This window comes from Homo sapiens, chromosome 11 (genome assembly GCF_000001405.40).
Source record: "Homo sapiens chromosome 11, GRCh38.p14 Primary Assembly".
Lineage (NCBI taxonomy): Eukaryota > Metazoa > Chordata > Mammalia > Primates > Hominidae > Homo > Homo sapiens.
Genome location: NC_000011.10, coordinates 66,196,204 through 66,219,809, shown reverse-complemented (window position 1 = coordinate 66,219,809; position 23,606 = coordinate 66,196,204). Strand labels below are relative to the sequence as shown.

At 43.6% G+C, this 23,606-nt stretch overlaps 1 protein-coding gene across 3 annotated transcripts in view; it reads right to left on the bottom strand.

Moving 5' to 3' along the window:
* PACS1 (phosphofurin acidic cluster sorting protein 1) overlaps nt 1–23,606 on the bottom strand; it is a 174,473-nt gene that overhangs the window by 24,935 nt on the left and 125,932 nt on the right. For all 3 annotated transcript variants that reach the window (NM_018026.4, XM_011545164.3, XM_011545162.2), the window contains exons 3-8: nt 9,359–9,448; nt 8,551–8,676; nt 3,547–3,691; nt 3,199–3,290; nt 3,035–3,115; nt 5–64 (exon numbers count right to left, since the gene is read on the bottom strand). In NM_018026.4, the coding sequence (NP_060496.2) occupies nt 5–64; nt 3,035–3,115; nt 3,199–3,290; nt 3,547–3,691; nt 8,551–8,676; nt 9,359–9,448 (594 nt within the window). The remainder of the gene's footprint in view (nt 1–4; nt 65–3,034; nt 3,116–3,198; nt 3,291–3,546; nt 3,692–8,550; nt 8,677–9,358; nt 9,449–23,606) is intronic.

Here is a 23,606-nt window from a genome sequence, read left to right as displayed (position 1 = left end):
ATACCTCATCTGAAACTTTAAACCGCTTCAGGAGGGCCACAAACTTCTGTTTGATGTTAGGTTGCTGTAGGGACAAATCGCATGACAGTTCTCAGCAACGTCCACTTGGGGTCAATTCAAGTCAATAAACACCCACCAGAGCCCACTTTCATGACGAGCTGTGGGAAGACACGAAGACTGGAGGACTTGGTCTCTGCCCTTGGCACTCAAAGCCTGTCAGGAAGACAGGCCAAATTCCAGTGTAGCTCCTGGGCCTTGGGTGCAGCTGCGGGGAGAAGGAATGTCTATCCCCAGGTCCTCCACCCCCCTGTGCCCCAACACCTCCCAAATGTGGGTCTCCAGCTCATCCCTTTCTCTTGCCCTTCGGATTCACAGTGCCCACTGCTGACTCCTACCTGCGCATGCACAGCGCGGGCACCTCAGCCTTACCACCTCCACGGTGGAACGCAGCGTCCCGTCTTCTCCTTGCACCCCGATCCTCTTACTGATGTCGCCAACACACCTGAACCAACATCTACGCCTGGAGTCTCTCCTTCTCGTTCTCCCCGCAGGCCCATTCTAGCTACCCCAGATCCTCCCTTTTCCATCTGTGACACCACTGTTTCCAGTCAGGCCTTTCTCCTTGCCTCTCTGGGATCATAGCAACAGCCTTCAGCTGACATCTCATACCCTGCCCACCTGCTTCTGGTCTTTCTCCCTCCACAGCCCACAGTGGTCCTTCCGAGTGCAAACCTGCTCATGCTACCCTCCGACTAGAAGTCTTCATTGGCCTCCACTACTTGAACAGAGCTCAGCAGTCAGGCCTGTACGTGTCCGAAGCCTGGGTCTGCCTGTTTCTAGCCTTATCTCTCTATTTGACCCTTCACACCCCATAGTCAAGTGGAAACTCACTGCTTTGAGTTCCTGGGAAAAACTGCATGCTGTTGTACTGGGCCTTTTTTTTTTTTTTTAGAGATGGAGTCTTGCTCTGTTGCCAGGCTGGAGTGCAGTGAGGTGATCTCGGATCACTGCAACCTCTGCCTCCCTGGTTCAAGTGACTCTCCTGCCTCAGCCTCCTGAGTAGCTGGGATTACAGGCACGTGCCACCACACCAAGCTAATTTTTGTATTTTTAGTAGAGACGGGGTTTCACCATGTTGGCCAGGACGGTCTCGATCTCCTGACCTTGTGATGCGCCTGCCTCGGCCTCCCAAAGTGCTGGGATTACAGGCGTGAGCCACAGCACTGTACTGGGTCTTTATATAGGGTATCTTCTGCCTTGAATAAAAATTTTCCCCAAATCCACTTGGTGAAGTTTTATTTTAAAAAACCCATCTCTCAGCATCTCATCTGGGAAGCTGTCCTGGCACTCCTGGGACAGGTGGCCACAGTCCCCTGGTGTCATTGCAAAGCTCTGTCTTATGGCACCTGTCCTACTGGGCTGTAATTATTTGTTGAAATGTGTGGTGTCACTAGACACTGTGCGCTTGATGGCATGGACTGGGCCCTATCTCTTTGTCTCTGGGCACGATGCTTAGCCTGTGGTTGTATGTACTTCCTGCCTGAATGACAGACTCGCCATCTGGGGATGAAAACAATGAACTTGCGAGGCTGATAGGTCTTCAGAGAAAGGGCAGAAAGGGCATTCACAGCAGAGAAAAAAAGTCGAGCTCCCAGTGACAGAGCAGCATGAGACATGTTCACAGAAGGTCAAGTACATCTGTGTTCTTGGTGGGAGAGAAGAATGCGCATGCACAGAGGAGACAGGCACTAAGGGAGGTCACTGAGTCTCTGGGATAGAACTGGAAAGTGCCTGCAGCTTAAAAAGAAACACCTCTGGGGGAGTATACATTAGCAGGAGCACTGAACTCCAGTCATGTGCCAGGGTCATGCCAAGGAAGAGACCCCACGTAGGAAGAGGTGACTTATGAAGCTCTGGGGGCACCCGTTGGGAAGAAAATAGGGCCGCTTTCTGGTTACAGAGCAGGAAAAAGAAAGCCTCAGCAGTAGGGGCTGACTAGAGAGAGATCCTACAGCCACTCCCTATTTCCAGAGTGCAATGGAGGTCAAGCATTTGGGGTACTGGTGACACACCTCATGGGGACCATTTGGAGCACCAATTGAGAGGTGGATACCTGAGGACAAGGAAACAGTCCTCCCGCTCCCTAGTTGCTGACTGGATGGGAAATCCAGGTCACAGTCTCACGGATTTACCTGAAGTCCAGTGACACCTCATTGTGATGGGAGAGTGATCTGGCCTCCGTTTCATCCCTGAAGGGGTGGGCATCTCGGCTCTCAGGGGTTTGGTCCCTAGGCTAGCTCTGCACTGGGGAGAATCAGGATGCCTCTGGGTAAATGGAGCTGTGAATTCCCCTTCGGAAATGCTCCCAGCACTTCTGGCCCTCCCACACTTCATGCAGGCACTCCAGAATCTGTCAAAGACCACCTAGGAATTCAGGTTTTTAGCTTCTTAGTTCAGGACTCAAATGTCATCAAAACAGTGACTCTTGAGGAAGTCTTATGGAGGAAAAGTATCAAAAGGCACCTGGTCTCCAAGGTTATGGATCCGTTAAGGCAGGAACGATATCTGATGTAATTAAAGCTTAGCAAGCCCAGGGTCATAGGAGCACCCCATGACTAGCCTATTATCTCTGCCTAAGTTCAGCACATGATTAAAACTAGTGCTACTCCTAGAGGGAGCTGGCTTTCTCGCTGCAGAGGACAGCATGTGACATGAAGCAGCCACTGGAGTGGGTGGGAGGCGGTCTGTTCCCTGATGGACCACTATCTGTTCTGAATTCTACAAGAAGGGTTCTCCTCCTTTTTTCTATCTGACGATAACCTGAAGGATATAACACTCTTATCAGTAATTGTGGTTCCCAACAACAGTGAGTCTAATTGGGCGGTGGTGAGGATATAGAGCGTTCATTGGAATCGTTGAAGGGATGACCCTGTGTTGATTTTAAGAAGTCTCCACTAGGCCTGAATATGCTGCTGCCAACCTACCCCCAGACTGAAAATCTTAGCCAACCACTCCCCAGACCTTTGAGGCTCACCCTTGTGATGGCAGAGGTTGAGGTTAGTTTCCTCCGGGTCTTCTTCACTTTCCGGAGATCTTCGTCTTCGTAGAACAAGTCCTAAGTGGGTACAGGGACAGAATGAGGGTGGGAAACCCCAGGAGCTTCTTGGACACGCCATGTGAGGGACCACAGAAAGTTACCTGCCCATGCAATGGATCATCACTGCCTTCCTGTTCTGATGAGAAACTCTCTTCCTCTTCCTCAGAATAATTGTCAATATCAGGAGAACGATCTGCAACAGACACCTGAGTAAGATAACCTTGCAATGGGAAGATCTGGCCTAAGAAACTTCGATGGGCTGGAATCAATGGTTCTCTTTGGGTGGAAACACAGCCAGGGTGGAGGGGAGGGCCAGGGCCGAAGCCACATTTTACTTTCAGGGGTCTCTAAAGGTCTCTTGCCCAGGAACATCTCAGGCACTGTCTTGTTCACCTTTCCCAGGATGGGCTCCCTCTTCGTAGGGTCTCCAGATGCTGCATGCTTCTTACCAGAAAGCTTGGATTTGATTCCTTCATGGTCAATGGGTTGGCTGGACAGGGAGTAGATCTTTATTTCTGCCACAGGCACAGAGACATCCTTCACGTTGCTGTGTAGGCCAAGCACCAGTGCGCCTTCATTAGGATGCTGCATCACCTAGGAGCCAGGGGAGGTGGTGGAGGCGTGTTACTACAGAGGCACCTGGAGAAACACAGCCAAGGAATGCACAAGACCCCAGGGGCAACAGCATTCTGCTGATACGTTTTCTTCCTTACTTTCAAATCCATGCCTACTGTCCTACTGCTTCACGGTCTTACTTTGTTTATTATTATTATTATTATTATTATTATTATTATTATTATTATTATTATTTTTGAGACGGAGTCTCTCACTGTCGCCCAGGCTGGAGTGCAGTGGCGTGATCTCGGCTCACTGCAACCTCTGCCTCCCAGGTTCAAGCGATTCTCCTGCCTCAGGCTCCCAAGTAGCTGGGATTACAGGCGTCTGCCACCACGCTCAGCTAATATTTTTTGCATTTTTAGTAGAGACAGGGTTTCACTATGTTGGCCAGGCTGGTCTCAAACTCCTGACCTCATGATCTGCCCGCCTCGGCCTCCCAAGTGCTGGGATAACAAGTGTGAGCCACTGCACCCAGCCTGTTTTTTATTATTATTAAAGGCAGGGTCTCACTCTGTCACCCAGGCTGGCACGCACTGGTGTGATCACAGCTCACTACAGTCTCGACCTCCCAGGCTCAAGTGATCCTCCCGCCTCAGCCTCAGTAGCTGGGACCACAGGCACACACCACCATGCCTGGCTAATTTTTAAATTTTATGTAGAGATGGGGTCTCACTATGTTGCCCAGTCTGATCTCGAAATCTTGGGCTCAAGCAATCCTCCTGCCTTGGCCTCCCAAAGTGCTGGGATTACAGGCGTGAGCCACTGCATTTGGCCTAAGGTCTTAACTTTAAAATTATCCCCAGAAGTGCTGGTCAGGGCCATGTGCTTAAAGATAACAATCAAAGATTGAAAATGGCTGCTCGGGCCAGGTGTGGTGGCTCACACCTGTAATCCCAGCACTTTGGGAGGCCAAAGCAGGCGGATCATGAGGTCAGGAGATCAAGACCATCCTGGCTAACATAGTGAAACCCCGTCTCTACTAAAAATACAAAAAATTAGCCAGGTGTGGTGGTGGGCGCCTGTAGTCCCAGCTACTCAGGAGGCTGAGGCAGGAGAATCACTTGAACCCAGGCGGCAGAGGTTGCAGTGAGTCGTGATTGTGCCATTGCACTCCAGCCTGGGTCACAGAGCAACACTCCATCTAAAAAAGAAAAGAAAAGAAAATGGTTGCTTGGCCGGGCACAGTAGCCTGTTCCTGCAATCCCAGCACTTTGGGAGGCTGAGGCGGGCAGATTGCTTGAGTCCAGGAGTTTGAGACCAGCCTGAGCAACATGGTGGAACCCCGTCTCTACTAAAAATAAAAAAATCAGCTGGGTGTGGTGGCGCATGCCTGTAGTTGCAGCTACTCAGGAGGCTGAGGTGGGAGAATCACCTGAGCCCAGGAAGTCGAGGCTGTAGTGAGCTGTGATTGCACCACTGCATTCCAGCCTGGGTGACAGAGTGAGACTCTATCTCAGGAAAAAAAAAAAAAAAAGAAAAGAAAAAGAAGAAAGGAAGAAAGAATGGGAGCGAGAGAGAGAAGGAAGGAAGGAAGATGGAGGGAGGGAGGGAGGGAAAGGAAAGGAAGGAAAGGAAAGAAAGGAAGAAAAAGGAAGGAAGGAAGGAAGGAAAGAAATGGTTGCTAATCTCTAAGACTAATTTTAGTGTAAGTCCTTCACAGAGAAACTTGCTCTTGAGTCTGGGTGAGGCCAGGCCTATAGGTGGTGGTCGCCTGTCACTGGCAATGAGGAAAAGGAGCCCAGTCTACAGGGAATGGCAGAGCCTGGCGTAGCAGGGGCAGTGGGTGCTGGCGGGAATTCACTGCCCCGTCTCCACACTGACACAAACACTGACTGAGCAGGACAGAAAGACGGGCTGGAACTATCTCAAATTTTCTATCATGGCCACAAAATTGTTCCTATTTAATTTACTAAAGTACAGAAATAATTTTAAAAACAGATTAGCGGCTGCTTTCTTCTTCCTGTTAGGATTGAGAGGAACTGCCTGGCACACAGGGAGCTGCACCAATGAGTACATGTATTGAGAATAATCACAGCCTTTTTTTTTTTTTTTTTTTTTTTTTGAGATGGAGTCTCGCGCTGTCGCCCAGGCTGGAGTGCAGTGGCGCAATCTCGGCTCACTGAAAGCTCCACCTCCTGGGTTCACGCCATTCTCCTGCCTCAGCCTCCCGAGTAGCTGGGACTACAGGCGCCCGCCACCATGCCCGGCTAATTTTTTGTATTTTTAGTAGAGATGGGGTTTCACCGTGTTAGCCAGGATGGTTTCGATCTCCTGACCTCGTGATCCGCCTGCCACAGCCTCCCAAAGTGCTGGAATTACAGGCGTAAGCCACTGCGCCCAGCCCACAGCCTGACTTCTTACCATTCCAAAAGGGAATTAGAAACATGGAGAAAGAAAAGCTATAAAAAGGCATTGGGTTGGAACTGAAATTATCGATGTGTGCTCACGGTTAGATAGATCTGGACCTAGACCTGAAAGGAGCTGTGACGTGTGTAGACACGAGCACATGTGTGCATACAGACAGATCTTTCTCAGCTCTGTCTGCTCAGTGGGAGTGCATGACACCCAGTTGGGGACATGGGCACTCCTGGTACCCAGATCTTGGTTTCTGAACACCATCCTCTACTGAAAAGAACCAGGGCTCCTCAGAGAATCTGCTCATTCTGGGAGCTGGGTCAGGGAAAGTACAAGATGAGCCTGAAATGTTTTGTACCAGAAAGTACGGTAGGATGTAACGAATGATGAGACATATTACTAAGGACTCAAAGCTGGCATGAAGGGGCTCCCATGGGCCAAATCTGATAAGTTTGTGCATCAAAATAAAAAAATGATAGTAGCAGATTCAGCCCCATCAAATAAAACAGGAACCCACGGTCCATAACTGATACAAATAAATGAGAGCAAAGGAAAAGCACTATCTTACTACAGAAAGCCAATTAATGAGGCCGGGAGCAGTGGCTCACGCCTGTAATCCCAGCACTCTGGGAGGCCAAAGCAGCGGATCACTTGAGGCCAGGAGTTCAAGACCAGCCCAGACAACATGGTGAAACCCCATCTCTACTAAAAATATAAAAAAAATTAGCCGGGCATGGTGGCGGGTCCCTGTAATCCCAGCTACTCTGGAGGTTGAGGCAGGAGAACTGCTGGAACCCGGGAGGTAGAGGTTGCAGTGAGCCGAGATTGTGCCAGCGCACTCCAGCCTGGGTGATGAAGTGAGACTCTGTCTCGAAAATAAATAAATAAATAAAGCCAATTAATAAATATGTAAGGAATGGTGGGATTAGAAATTCACTGTCTGGTAAGCATCCAAGTATAGTGATGACCAATTCAGGCAAGAATCATGAATAGATGCTAAAACTAGTGGGTGAAATGTGATAAGGAAAAAGATAGTTGCCTTTCTTCTTCTCCCCTTAATATATTTACCTCCTCGTAAAATATTTTTTCCAGTAAGTACAAAATGCTTATTAATTAACTTTGTGGTGGAAAAACCCTGCAGACTCCATGTTAACCAAGTGATAATATCAGGCCGGGCACAGAGGCTGATGCCTATAATCCCAGCACTTTGGGAGGCCAAGGAGGGAGGATTGCTTGAGCCTGGGAGTTTGAGACCAGCCTGGACAACAGAGCAAGACCTCGTCTCTAAAAAAAAAAAAAAAAAGTTAAGGCCAGGCGCAGTGGCTCATGCCTGTAATCTCAGCACTTTGGGAGGCCAAGGCGGGCGGATCACAAGGTCAGGAGAATGAGACCATCCTGGCCAACATGGTGAAACCCCGTCTCTACTAAAAAAAAAAAAAAATTAGCTGGGCATGGTGGTGCACGCCTGTAGTCCCAGCTACTCAGGAGGCTAAGGTAGGAGAATCACTTGAACCCGGGAGGCGGGGGTTTCAGTGAGCCAAGATCATGCCACTGCACTCCAGCCTGGCGACAGAGCAAGACTCCATCTCAAAAAAAAAAAAGTAAAAATAAAAAAAATTAAAAGTTAATATCCCCAGGAAAGGAACCAATTGCCATCAGGTGCTGCCTAAGCTGCACTGAGAACAGAGCACTTCTGTGGTAATGCTGCCAGAAACACACAGGTGGAATCTAATCTTGAGGCAACATCAGGCGAACCTGGACTGAGGAGTATTCAAAAAAGTAACCAGCCTGTGCGCTTAAAAAATGTCAAGGTCATGAAAGGTAAGGAAAACCGAGGGGCTGCTGCAGACCGAAGGGGACGAAGGACACAGTGATATGCGGCACATAATCCTAGATCGGATCCCAGGCCCATAAAGGGTATCACTGAGACACTCAGCACAATCCGAATAGGGACTGTGGGTTAGACGGCAATCTTATCTCAACGTTAGTGTCCTGATCTTGATGGTGGCAGGGAGTTTAGACAGCAGAGTATTCTCATGTTAAGGAAATTAACGTGGTGCAGTATTAACGTGTAATGGGGCATCGTGCCAGCAACTTACTCTCGGATGGCTCAGAAAATAATACCTATCAATATATCTATGAGGAGAGCATATGAAATGTGGTGATATGTTAAAGAACTTGGATGAATCCACATATGGGAACTCTTTGTACTATTCTTGTAACTTTTCTGAAAGTTTGAAATTTTATGTAATTTTTTGAGTTTTACCTGTTTAAAAATTAAAACTTTTCATGAAGGAGACAGTATTTGATAAAAACAAGTATACTCTGAATTTCCAGCAAATAATTAACTCGTAAAACAGAATTAAGCACCTAGCCAGCAGGCTGGGAAAATCATCTGGAAGGCTCAACTGGCTGGGCTGGGGTGTCCCTTGGGCTCTGTGACTCAAAGGCCAACAGTCTGGAGACTGTGTTCCTCTCACCTCTGCCATGTTGATGAGTCCCACGGCCAAGGTCTTATAGCCCAAGATGGTCCGATTCTTGTAACGTTTTCTCCTTTGCAGCATGATCTGCAGCTTGTTGGCATCTCGCTTAAGGAAATGAGGGTACTACGAAATACAAAACAGAGTCGAGCGTGGTTAATGGGCAGCTGGGTCCTTGAGGGGTTCTGGAGGACACACAGTCTTTCTGTGCTTCAATTCTTCCTGTCTCTAAAAGGGGGCAGTCAGGGTTGAAAGGAGAGCCATGAAGTTGCTGCTGGTGGAGCTGATTCGGCTTGATGCCTGGCTTCTACGCCACAGCTCTGGGGTCCACACCTATTCAGAGAACTGTCTCTTCCCTTGCCACTTTATCAGGTGTTTTCTCCATGTGTTTCAATTTGGGCATTGAATTACTGGAATTACGATGAGAGGGACACCGACTAGGAGGGATACGGAGTAGAGGGGAAGGACGGAGATCCCGACGTGGAGGCTGATGGTGGCACAGTCCACGGGGTGTGCGAGGATCACTAAGGAGATGTGATGTGGTGCAGCAGATGGCTAACAGTGTTAGCCAAGGCAGAGGAAGGGAAGGGGCCACGGTGCCTACCCAGGTCTCCACACCCTTACCGTCACTGGCTAAAGGGTTGCTTTGGCCCTCCAGGCCAGCCATAAACCTCCAGGTGACTTTTATTCATTCCTGCCCAAGTTGGGGAATGGGGGCTCTGGGATAAAACAGTCTCTGGGTTAGAGGACTGTCTGGGGACTAGCCAGGATATAGCATGTTAGGGGCCTAAGATTAGGAGAGTCTCACCTGAAGGGAGAAGGTTAATTGGAGCTCTGTTTCCACCAGTCCACTAGCTGGAAGGACGATCTCGTTGGAGCGAAGAATTCTTTTTGAACCCTGAAACCAAGAAGAAAAGTCTGTTTGGCCAGGTGCAGTGGCTTGTGCCAGTAATCCCAGCAGTTTGGGAGGCTGAGGCAGAAGGACTGCTTGGACTCAGGAGTTTGAGACCAGCCTGGGGCAACATAGTGAGACTCCTGTTTCTACAAAAAATAAAAAAAATTGGCTGGGTGTGGTGGTACACATGCCTGTAGTCCCAGCAACTCAGGAGGCTGAGGTGCGAGGATCACTTGAGCCCAGGAGTTCAAGCCTGCAGTGAGTCATGATCCTGCCACTGCACTCCAGCCTGGGTGACAGAGAGAGACCCTGTCTCAAATAATATCAATAATAAAAAGAAAAAAAAAATCTGTCAAAGCTGTGTCACCAAAAATCAGACCAAAAGAAATACTATGTTTGCAAACAACTTCTAAACTCTACAAGCATTCTTTAAAAAAAAAAAATTAAATTTTATTTTTTTTGAGACGAGTCTCATTCTGTCACCCAGGCTGGACTGCAGTGGCGTGATCTCGGCGCACTGCAACCTCCGCCTCCCAGGTTCAAGCGATTACCCTGCCTCAGCCTCCTGAGTAGCTGGGACTACAGGCACCTGCCACAATGCCCGGCTAATTTTTTTGTATTTTTAGTAGAGACAGGGTTTCACCATGTGCTGGCCTTGAACTCCTGACCTCAGATGATCAGCTTGCTTCAGCCTCCCAAAGTGCTGGGATTACAGGTGTGAGTCACTGAGCCCGGCCCAAACATTCTTACCAGTCCAAATATTTCATGAGTCTTTATTGTACTTATTTGAATCAAGCCTCTACCATAAGTCTGATTTTACATATATGATGCTGTAGGGTGCATAAAAGGTTATCACAGCAAAATGATTTGTTAACGTCTGTGAGTTCCCAGCACTCCTGGGGAAGAGGCCGGTAGTGTCAGTCCCCAGGGTGTGTAAGACCCTCCCTGCCCACTGTTCCTTTTTTTTCCCAGGAACTTCCTCTTTAACCTCCCTGCTCTCCAAACCTAATATTTGGGTTAGACAGCCCTCTTACTGCCATGTTGGCCGGGCTGGCCTCGAACTCCTGACTTCAAGTGATCCTCCCTCTGACTCCCCAGGCATACTGTCTTGTCTCTGGGCCTTTTCATGTGCTTTTCTTCTCTTCTTGGATGCTTTTTTTGGCTTCTGAACACAAGTAACCAACTCATCTTTCAGGTCTCAGCTGAATTTTTTTTTCCCAGGAACTTCCTCTGTAACCTCCCCGCCTCCAAACCTTGTATTTGGGTTAGACAGCCCTCTTACTGCCAGTTACTGAATCTCACTAAACTTCAAGATCCATGAGACAAAGATATGTCTTGTTCAGTATGATTCCCAGCACACAAATAAACAGTGTTGAATAAATTTGTCTAAAAAAAAATCAGTTTTAAAATTAATACCAATAAAAAAAACCCCACAACATCCAAAGTTGGTAAGGATGTGGTAGAATTTCCAAATTCATTCATTGTTGAAGCAAAGTAAATTACAATAACCCTTTTAGAAAGTAGCCTGGCAATAAAGAAACATTTCTATTCAAAAATTGTAATCCAAAAAAATAAATTCTAAGGGCATGATTTTTATATATTATTTTCTTTTTTCTCCCTTGATCCCATGAACTTGGAGGGAATGATTTTTTTCTTTCTTTCCTTCCTTCCTTTCTTTCTTTTTCTTCTTCTTTTTTTTTTTTTTTAATAAAAAGAGAGACGAGGTCTCACTATGTTGCCCAGGCTGGTCTTTAACTTCTGAGCTCAAACGATCTTTCCACTTCAGCCTCCCAAAGTGCTAGGATTATAGGCCACCAGGCTGGGCCAGGAATGAGTTTTAAAAAGAAGCAAATCTGTAAACAAGGAGCTGTTCATTGAAACATTATTTTTACCGTTTTTATTTTTTATTTGTAGAGATGGGGTATCGCTACATTGCCCAGGTTGGTCTTGAACTCCTCGGCTCAAGTAATCTTCCTGCCACTGCCTCCCAAAGTGCTGGGATTACAGATTTGAGCCCCACACTCATCCCTGTTTATAATTAATGACAAATTTTTGAGCTGCTCATCTCTCACGTGTCTTCAGCAAAGCTGTGATTACTCTGGGAGCTGTTTCTGTTGAAATGGTACTATGCCGCGGTGCTGACCCTTAGGGGAAAACTCCACACATGGAAAAACGCCTCAGCCACTCATGAGGCCAAAATGAGACCAAGGAAGTGGAGCCCTGATGGTTATGTCATTATATAGCGATGCTGCCTATGGGTAATGGCCATAGGGGGAAGGCTGGGTATAAAATCAGCAGAAGCCTGGGTGTGGTGGCACCTGTAATCCCGGCACTTTGGGAGGCTGAGGTGGGCGGATCACCTGAGCTCAGGACTTCAAGACCAGCCTGGGCAACACTGGGAAACCTCGTCTCTACGAAAAATACAAAAATTAGCCAGGCATAGTGGCGTGCACTTGTAATCCCAGCTACTCAGGAGGCTGTGTGGGAGAATCATTTCAGCCTAGGAGGCAGATGTTGGAATAAGCCAAGATCATATCATTGCACTCCAGCCTGGGCAACAGAGCGAGACTCCGTCTCAAAAAAAAACAAAACAAAACAAAAGCCAAGATTATATCACTGCACTCCAGCCTGGGCAACAGAACGAGACTCTGTCTCAAAAAACAGCAAAAATAAAATAACATCAGCAGAAGCACACAGCCAGCCCGCACACAGGCCAGGGCCTCAGGACACCCGGAAGCTCGAGTGCTATAGTGGCAACTGAAGACCGAATGCATCAAATAAACTATAAAAAGCAAAACCAACAGCCACTCTCTCCCACAAGACCCACACATTTATGAGATTCATGCCACAACTGGAAATTTGAACACTGATTTTGTGATATTAAGGTTTTTGTTATTTTAGATAGAGTCTTGCTCTGTCGACTAGGCTGGAGTACAGTAGTGTGATCTCGGCTCACTGCAATCTCCGCCTCCCAGGTTCAAGCGACTCTCTTGCCTTAGCCTCTTGAGTAGCTGGGATTACAGGTGAGTGCCATCACGCCCAGCTAATTTTTGTATTTTTAGTAGAGATGAGGTTTTATCATGTTGGCCAGGCTGGCCTTGAACTCCTGATCTCAAGTTATCCGCTCCCCTTGGCCTCCCAAAGTGCTGGTATTACAGGCATGAGCCACCGCGTCTGGCCAAGGTGTGATAATGGTATCGAGGTTTTGTTTAAATATACTGCCTACATTTTTGAAATACATATCGACATATTTGTGGGTGAAATGTTATGATGTACGGATTGCCTCAAAATAACACTGGTGAAGGGAAACAGTGGGGACACAGACGAAACGAGACTGGCCATAAGTTGATAACAACTGCAGCTTAGTAAGGGGTTCGAGGGAATTGTAAACTACTTCGTCTACTTTTGCACGTTTGAGATTTTTCCAAAATAAAAGTTGAAAAAAGTAATCAGTGCTTAGGGTTCTTTTAAGATTTCTCAGCTCAGAGCATATATTCACAGAATATGAAGGCCTGAGGGCCTGGTCCTGGGTCTTCCCTCTGCCTGGAAGGCTCTTCCTCCAGATACCTGCATGGCCCTCACCTCCCTCAAAGTCTTTGGGTAAATGTCATCTTCTCAACCAGGTCTACCGTGACCACCGTAGGGAATCCGTTAACTTCCTCCACCCCAGCCCTCTCGGTCCCCTTTATCTTAGTTATTGTCACTATAGGACATCACCTTCCAACAGCAGTAGCCTCATTATATGATTATATGAACTCTCACCACCCAAGTATGTGCTCTAAATACCTGTAAAACTTTGTATCCCAAATTCACTATCTGAATTTCAAATTCGCTAGAAGTAATCTGCGTGTGCAGGTAGCAGGATGCGGAGTGCAGTGTGTCACGGGATCGCAGCCAGGCCCAGCCCAGCCCAGCCCTTTCAAGCATGGTGCACTACTGTCCTCATCTTTACTACCCTTCCCCAGGGGTTTAGCTTTCATGGGTTCCAGTATTTGCTTCTTCCAGGTGCCTGGGGCACTACCAACCAGGGTCCAATTTCAAAATTATTTTTAATATACTTTTGTATCATTTGTTTATCTATATAACAGTATATCTTCTTTTGCAGTATAGAAGCAAAACCATTTATATTTAATACTAAAGTAACATAGCACATTAAAATATCCAATATTAATATTATTTTAAAAATTAGGTTACTGGTGTTTTATTATTATTATTTTGAGACAGAGTCTCACTCTGTTGCACAGGCTGGAGTGCAGTGGTGCAATCTTAACTCATTGCAACCTCCGCCTCCCAGGCTCAAGCGATTCTCCTGCCTCAGCCTCCCCAGTGGCTGGCACTACAGGCATGTGCCAAAATGCCGGGCTAATTTTTGTATTTTTAGTAGAGATGGGGTTTGACCATGTCGCCCAGGCTGGTCTTGAACTCCTGACCTCAGGTGATCCACCTGCCTTGGCCTCCCAAGTGCTGGGATTTACAGACATGAACCACCGTGACCGGCCAGGTTACTGCTGTTTTAAATGCTTCTTATTTAAACCAAAAATTCTTATCATATAGATATTTAACAGTATTATTGCTGAATGTGGTGGCTCATGCCTGTAATCCCAGCACTTAAGGAGGCAGAGGTGGAAGGATAGCTTGAGCCCAGGAGTATAAGAGCTGCCTGGGCAACATAGTGAGATCCCATTCTCAAAAAAAAAAAAAAAAAATTAAGAGTATTGTAGTGATATTTGAGGAAATTTGTTGGGGTTTCTTGGATGTCTGAAAATAAGCTGTTATTTTTCATTTATTCTTTATTTCAATTTTTAACTAATAATTTTTATGGGTACATGGCATATATATTTATGGGGTACATAAGACATTTTGGTACAGGCATACAACATGTAATAATCACATCAGGTTATATTGGGTATCCATCGCCTCAAGCATTTATCATTTATTTATGTTACAAATATTCCAATTATACTTTTAGTTATTTTTAAATGTACTATAAATTATCATTGACTGTAATCGTCCTGTTGCACTATCAAATATCAGATCTTTAAAACATTAAAAAAATTTTTATAATTAAAATAATTGTTTTGGCTGGGCGTGGTGGCTCATGCCTGTAATCCCAGCACTTTGGGACGCTGAGGCGGGCAGATCACCTGAGGTCAGGAGTTCAAGACCAGCCTGGGCAACATGGTGAAACCCAGTCTCTACTAAAAATACAAAATTTAGCTGGGCATGATGGTGCACACCTGTAATCCCAGCTACTTGGGAGGCTGAGGTAGGAGAATCGCTTGAACCTGGGAGGTGGAGGTTGCAGTGAGCTGAGATTGCGCCATTGCACTGCAGCCTAGGCAACAAGAGTGAAACTCCGTTTCAAAAAAAAAAAAGTTTTTAAAAAATAGAGATGGGGTTTCACTATGGTGCTCAGGCTGGTCTCAAACTACTGGACTCAAGGAATCTTCCTACCTCAGCCTCCCAAAGTGCTAGGATTACAGGCGTGAGCCACCATGCTTGGCCAAATACCAGGTCTTATTCATTCTATGTTTTTGTATCCATTAACTATCATCACTGCCCGACTGCCCATATGAGCCTGTGGTAACCATCATTAGACTATCTCCATGACTTTAATTTTTAACTCCCAGAAGTAAGTGAGAACATTCAAAGTATGTCTTTCTGTACCTGGCTTATTTCATTTAACATAATGTCCTCCAGTTCCATCCATGTTATTGCAAATGACAGGAACTCATTCTTTTTTATGGCTGCATAGTACTCCATTGTGTATATGTACCACATTTTCTTTATCAGTTTGTCTGTTGATGGACACTTAGGTGCTTCCAAATCTTGGCTATTGTGAATAGTGCTACATGGGACTATTTTGGTTTTTTGAGGAAACTCCATACTATTTTCCATATTCGCTATACTAACTTACATTCCTACCAACAGTGTACGAGGGTTCCCTTTTCTCTACATCCTCACCAGGATTCACTATTGCCTGTCTTTTGGATAAAAGCCATTTTAACTGGGGTGAGATGATATCTCATTGTAGTTTTGATTAGCATTTCTCTGACAATTAATGATGTTACATACCCTTTCATATGCCTGTTTGCCACTTGTAGGTCTTCTTTTGAGAGATGTCTATTCAGATCGTTTGCCCATTTCTTAATCGGATTATTAGATATTTTCCTGAGTTGTTTGAGCTCCTTATATAGTCTGGTTATTAATCCCTTGTCAGATGGACAAGGGATCCCTTGTTGGCCTCTCAAAGTGCTGGGATTACAGGCATGAGCCACCGTGCCTGGCCCAGAAGCTTTTTAACTTGATGTGATCCCATTTGTCCATTTTTGCTTTGGTTGCCAGTGCCAGGTATTACACAAGAAATCTCTGCCCAGATCAATTTCCTGGAGAGTTTCCCCAATGTTTTCTTTTATTTTTATTATTTTAGTGGCCAAAGCAGTTGGAAAAATGTTTTCTTTTAGTAGTGTCATAGTTTCAGGTATTAGAGTTAAGTCTCCAGTCAATTTTTATCTGATTTTTGTATATAGTGAGAGACAACAGTCTAGTTTAATTCCTCTGCATATAGATATCCAGTTTTCCCAGCATCATTTATTGAAGAGATTGTCCTTTCCCCAGTGTATGTTCTTGGCACCTTTGTTGAAAATTAGTTCACTGTAGATGTATGGATTTATTGCTAGATTATCTATTCTCTTCCATTGGTGTAGGTGTTTGTTTTTATGCCAGCACCATGCTGTTTTGGTTACTATAGTTCTGTAGTATAATTTGAAGTCAGATAATGTGATTTCTCTAATTTTGTTCTTTGTGCTCAGGATGGCTTTGGCTATTCTGGGTCTTCTGTGGTTCCATATACATTTTAGGATTTTTTTTTTCTATTTCTGTGAAGAATGTCATTGGTATTTTGATAGGGATTGCATTGAATCTGTAGATTGCTTTGGGTGGTATGGACATTTTAACAATATTGATTCTTCCAATCCATGAATATGGAATATCTTTCCATTTTTTGTGTGTCTATTTAGATTTCTTGCATCAATGTTTTACAGTTTTTAATATAGAGATATTTCACTTCTTTGGTTAAGTTTATTCCTAGGTATCTTATTTGTAGCTCTTGTAAATGGGATTACTTTCTTGATTTCTTTTTCAGATTGTTCACTGTTGACATATAGAAATGCTACCTATTTTCTGTATGTTGATTTTGTATCCTGCAACTTCACTGATTTTATCAGTTCTAATAGTTATTTTGTGAAGTGTAGGTTTTTCCACATAGAAGAGCATATCATTTGCAAACAAGGATAATTTGATTTCTTCCTTTCCAATCTGGATGCCTTTATTTCTTTCTCTTGCCTGACTGCTCTAGTTAGGACTTCCAGTACTATACTGAATAACAGTGGTGAAAGTGATGATCCTTGTCTTGTTCCAGATCTTAAAGGAAAGGCTTTCAGTTTTTCTCCGTTCAGTCTGATACAAGTGATAGGTCTGTCATATATGGCTTTTATTGTGTTGAGGTATGTTTCTTTTATACCCATTTTTTGAGGATTTTTATCATGAAGCCTTGTTGAATTTTATCAAATGCTTTTTCAGAATATATATATATATATATATATATATATATATATATATATTTTTTTTTTTTTTTTTCCTAGAGATGAGGTTTTGCCATGTTGCCCAGGCTGGTCTCAAATTCTTGGCCTCAAGCGATCCATCTACCTTGGCCTCCCAAAGTGCTGGGATTACAGGTGGGAGCCACAACACCCAGCCATTTGGCATCAATTGAGATTATCACATGGGTTTTGTCCTTCATTCTGTTGATATGATGTATCACATTAATTGATTTGTGTATGCTGAACCATCCTTGCACATCCCTGGGATCTCACTTGGTCATGATGAATGATGTTTTTAATGTGTTGCTGAACTCTGCTAGTATTTTCTTGATGATTTTTGTATCAGTGGTCATCAGAGATACTGCCCTGTCACTTTCTTTGGTTTTGGTATCAGAGGAATATTGGTTTCATAGATTGAGTCTGGAATTATTCTCTATTTTTTGAAACAGTTCTTCTTAAATGTTTGGTAAAATTCAGTAGTGAAGCTATCAAGGCCTGGGCTTTTCTTTGCTGGAAGACTTTGTTAATGGCATCTAGCTCATTTTTTGTTATTGGTCTATTCAGGTTTTGAATTTCTTCATGGTTCAATCTTGGAAGGTTGTATCTTTCCAGGAATTTATCCATTTCTTCTAGGTTCTCCAGTTTATCGGTATATAGCTGCTCATAGCAGCCACTAATGATCCTTTGAATTTCTGCAGTGTCAGTCACCTCTTTTTTCATCTCTGATTTATTTGTGTCTTCTCTCTTTTTTTCTTATTTGGTCTGGCTAAAGGTTTATCCATTTTGTCTTCTCAAAAAACAACTCTTTGGCCGGGTGTGATGGCTCACACCTGTAATCCCAGCACCGAAGGCCAAGGCAAGCAGATCACCTGAGGCTGGGAGTTCAAGACCAGCCTGGCCAATAAGGTGAAACCTCGTCTCTACTAAAAATACAAAAATTAGCCGCGATGGTGGTGCGCGCCTGTAATCCCAACTACTCAGGAGACTGAGGCAGGAGAATCACTTGAACCTGGGAGGCAGAGGTTGCAATGAGCTGAGATTGCACCACTGTACTCCAGCATGGGCAACAAGAGTAAAACTCCGTCTCAGAAAAAAAAAAAACAAAAACCCAAAACATTTTGTTTTGTTGACTTTTTTTTTTCAATTTCATTTATTTCTGCTATGATGTTCATTATTTCTTTTCTTCTACTAATTTTGGGTTTGGTTTGCTCTTGCTTTTCTAGTTCTTTAAGAAGCATCATTAAGTTGTTTATTTGAAGTCTTTCTTCTTTTTTGATGTAGGCACTTATAGCTACGAATTTCCCTCTTGGTACTGCTTTTGCTGTATCCCATAGGTTTTGATATGTTGTGTTTCCATTATCATTTGCTTCAAGAAAATTTCAATTTTCCTTTTTAATTTATTCATTGACCCACTGGTCATTTAGGAGCATACTGTTTAATTCCATGTGTGCCTATTGCTTTCAAAATTCCTTGCTATTGATTTCTAGTTTTATTCCATTATGGTCAGGGAAGATGCCTGATATTATTTCAACTTTTTTTTTTTTTGAGACAGAGGCTCACTCTGTCACCCAGGTTGGAGTGCAGTGGCGCAATCTCCGCTCACTGTAACCTCCACCTCCAGGGTTCAAGCAATTCTCCTGCCTCAGCCTCCTGAGTAGCTGAGACTACAGGCGCCTGCCACCACGCCCAGCTAATTTTTGTATTTTTAGGGCAGACGGGCTGTCACCATTTTGGCCAGGATGCTATGGATCTCCTGATCTCATGATCCACCCACCTTGGCCTCCCAAAGTGCTGGGATTACAGGCGTGAGTCACCACACCTGGCCTCAACTTTTTTTTTTTTTGAATGTTTTAAGACTTGTTTTGTAACCTAACATATGGCCTATCCTTGAGAATGATCCACATGCTAATGAAAAAAAAAAGTGTATTCTGCAGCCATTGGAAGAAATGTTCTGTAAATATCTATTCGGTCCATTTGGTCTATAGTGCGGTTAAGTCTGATGTTTCTTTATTTTGTCTGGATGATCTTTCCAATGCTGAAAGTGGGGTGTTAAAGTCTCTAGCTATTGTTGTAATGGGGTCTAACACTCTCTTTAGCTCTAGTAATATTTGCTTTATATATCTGGGTGCTCCAGTGTTAGGTGCATATATATTTACAATTGTTATATCTTCTTGCTGAGTTGACCCCTTTATCATTATATAATGAACTTATCAATTTTTACAATTTTTGTCTTGAAATCTATTTTGTCTGATATAAGTATAGCTATTCCTACTCTTTTTTTTTTTGTTTGTTTCCATTTGCATAGAGTATATTTTTCCAACCCTTTATTTTTAGTCTCTATGTGTCTTTACAGGTCAAGTGTGATTCTCGTAGGCGATAGATGTTTGGATCATGTTTTCGTTTTTGTTTTTCTGAGACAGCGTCTCACTCTGTTGCCCAAGGTGGAGTGTACTGGCACAATCATAGCTCACTTTAGCCTTAACCTCCTGAGCTCAAGTGATCCTTCTACCTCAGACTCCTGAGTAGATGACTCTACAGGTGCACACCACCACATCCAGCTAATTTTTCAAATTATTTGTAGACCCAAGGTCCTACTATGTTGCCCAAGCTGGTCTCAAACCCCTGAGCTCAAGCAATACTCTCACCTCAGCCTCCCAAAGTGCTGGGATTATAGGCATGAGCCACTGTGCCTAGCTGGGTCTTGTTTTTTTTTTTGTTTTGTTTTGTTTTTGTTTTTGTTTTTTTGAGACAGAGTCTCGCACAGTTGCCTGGGTTGGAGTGCAGTGGTGCAATCTGGGCTCACTGCAACCTCCACCTCCCAGATTCCAGCGATTCTCCTGCCTCAGCCTCCCGAGTAGCTGGGATTACAGGTGTACGCCACTACACCCAGCTAATTTTTTGTATTTTTAGTAGAGATGGGGTTTCACTGTGTTGGCCAGGCTGGTCTCGAACTCCTGACCTCATGATTTGCCCGCCTTGGGCTCCCAAAGTGCTGGGATTACAGGCATGAGCCACCGTGCCCAGCTGGGTCTTGTTTTTTAATGCATTCAACTACTCCACGTCTTTTGATTGCAGAATTTTGTCCATTTACATTCAATGTTATTATTGATAAGTAAGGCCTTACTATTGCCATTTTGTTATTTGTTTTCTGGTTGTTTTGTGGTCTTATCTTCCTTCCTTCTTTCCTTCTTGTCTTTCTTTTTGTGAAAGTCATTTTCTCTGATGGTATGTTTTTAATTTCTTGCTTTTTATTTTTTGTGTATCTGTTTTAGGGTTTTTTGATTTGCAGTTACCATGAGGCTTGCAAATAACATCTTATAAAACATTATTTTAAACTGAATGGTAAGTTAACTCTGATTGCAAAAACAAAAAACAAAGAAGCAAAGAGAAAACCAATAAAAACTCTATAGTTCAACTTCATCCCCCCTCCCTCTTTTTTTTTTTTTTTTGAGATGGAGTCTCGCTCTGTTGCCCAGGCTGGAGTGCAGTGGTGCGATCTCGGCTCACTGCAAGCTCCGACTCCTGGGTTCACGCCATTCTCCTGCCTTAGCCTCCCAAGTAGCTGGGACTACAGGTGCCCGCCACCACGCTTGGCTAATTTTTTGTATTATTAGTAGAGATGGGGTTTCACCATGTTAGCCAGGATGGTCTCGATCTCCTGACCTCATGATCCACCTGCCTTGGCCTCCCAAAGTCCTGGGATTATAGGCGTGAGCCACCACGCCCGGCCCTTTTTACACTTTTAGAAAGAATCCCAAATAGCTTTTGTGTATGTAGGTATATCTATCAATATTTTGTTTATGTAGGTTTATCTATCAATAGTCACCATATTATGAATTAAAACAGATATTTTAAAATATTTATTAATCCATTTAAAATTAACAATAAACCTATTATGTGTTTACATACAAAGTTTTAAAATGAAAAATATATGTTCCCCAAACAAAAATAATTTAGTGAGAAGACATAGTTTTTTAAAAAAATTACAGCTTTACTGGGATATAATTCAAATACCACACAATTCACCCATTTAAAGTGTACAATTCAATGGCTTTCACTATGTTCAGCGCTGTGCAACCATCACCACAGTCAGTGTCAGAACATTCTCATCATTCAACAAAGAAACCTCATATTCTTTAATTATCACCCTCTGCAGTCTGCCCACCCCCACCCCTAACCCCTGGCAACTACAATCTATTTCCTGACCCTAGGGATCTGCCTATTTCATATAAATGGAATCATACAATATGTGGTTTTTTGTGTCTTGCTTCTTTCACTTAGCATCATGTTTTCAAGGTTCATCCACCTGGAGCATGGAGGTACTTCATTCTTTTTTATTGCCAAATAGTATTCCGAAGCTGTATGACTAGACCACATTTTATTTATCCATTGATCAGTTGATGGACTTGGATTGTTTCTACTTTTTAGCTCGTGAATAATTCTGTTATGAACATTTGCATGTTAGATTTTGTGTGTTTTCATTTCTCTTGTGGACATACCTAGGAGTAGAATTGCTAAGTCATATGGTTACTCAGTCTTTAACCTTTTGAGAACCGGGCATGGTGGCACAAGCCTATAATCCCAGCACTGGGAGGTCAAGGCGAGAGGATTGCTTGAGGCCAGGAGTTTGAGAGCAGCCTGGGCAACACAGCAAGACCTTGTCTCTAAAATAAAAACAAAAGCAAAACAAAACAACACAGTGGCTGCATTATTTTACATTCCCAACAGCAGTGTATGAGGGAGATGGCATAGTTTTACATTTCTGTAAATCTTTTTAATGAATGACTTAATAGAAAACAACTAGATTCTCATTCCTATTTTGGACTCAATGTGTTGCAAAACATTACTTTGGTTGAGTATATGAAAAAAATCCAGACGCAAAGTGATATACAGTTGGAAAACAGAGGAGCATTTTAACAGCCTTTTCAGACAACTGTGGAATTTTTTATTTATTTTTTATTTTTTATTTTTAGAGACAAGGTCTCGTTCTGTTGCCCAGGGTAGAGTGCAGTGGTGTGATCATAACTCATTGTAAACTTGAACTCCTGGGCTTAGGCAATCCTCCTGCCTCAGCCTCCCAAATAGCTGGGACTGCAGGCATATGCCACCATGCCCAGATAGTTTTTATTTTTGGTAAAGATGGGGTCTTGCTGTGTTGCCCAGGATGGTCTTGAACTCTTGGGCTTGAACAATCCTCTCACCTTGGCCTCCTAAAGTGCTGGGATTACAGGTATGAGCCATTGTGACCAGCCAGTTGTGGACTATTTTCCTTTGATACTACACCATTAACTCTCTAAGTGGTAGTTTCCTAAAGATTAGTTGCAAAGTAAAAATTTTTTTTCCAAAGTAGAATTTTAAATAATATCAATAAGACTTTTGTGCTCTTATATGTTAAAATCCAATTAACAGAAAAAGAACGTTAATGAAAAAACTAGGAAATCTGAAGTCGAATTTAATTAATAGTATCATACCAATGATAATTTCTTAGTTTTGATAAATGTACCATGGTTAAGAGAGATATTAGTGTTGGGAGAAGCTGGGTGGGGTATACAGGAACTCTTTAGACTAACCCTGCATCTCTTGGATACATTTAAAAGTATTTTAAAATAGAAAGTTAAAAACCCAATCCACTGGTCTATTTTGTTCTTTGAAAGGATCTTTTATCCAGCATGATTTTGTAAACTCATGCATTAGTCATTTAGAAAATATTCAAATGTTACATATTATACAATATAAAAAACTAAAAATGTTTAATATCACTTCTGACTTCTTCAGAAAAGTCTTTAAGAACTGGGAAGCTGTTAAGCTTTCAGTGACAGAAGCAAGTTTTCCAAAATTCTAATTTTTACTTAAAAGCTCAAATTTTGGCCAGGTGTGGTAGCTCATGCCTGTAATCCCAGCACTTTGGGAGGCCAAGGTGGGCAGATTACCTGAGGTCAGGGGTTCGAGACCAACCTGGCCAACATGGTAAAACCCCGTCTCTACTAAAAATACACAAATTAGCCAGGCATGGTGGTGGGTGCCTGTAGTCCCAGCTACTCAGGAGGCTGACGCAGGAGAATCACTTGAACCCAGGAGATGGAGATTGCAGTGAGCCGAGATCACGCCATTGAATAACAGGGCGAGACTCTGTCTCAAACAAAAAAAAAGGTCAAATTTTATTTATCATTGGCAACCAATATTAAGTTGTTTTCCCTGAATTGATAGGGTAACTCTGTTCAATTTTAAGGAAACACCTTCCAAATACCTGAGTCTAAATAACCTGTTTGTCTGGAAGTCCCTCTTTGAAGTAAAAATGGTGTTCATGAAAAAAGCAGCTACTGTGGTTCACAACTCAGTAGCTCCACCTCACACAGGCTCTAGTCTTAGAGACAGACATCGAACTTTGCTGCAAGGCAGAAGTGCTCAGTGTACACGTCCCATCTCATCACACAAAATATGAAAAAGATGCAGACTCAAGGTTGAGATATAATAAATTAACACGTTTTACTGCTTTCTTAAGAACATTCTTAAGCAAAACTGGCTTTCTCTCCCTTGTTTGGGTCGGAGTCTTGCTCTGT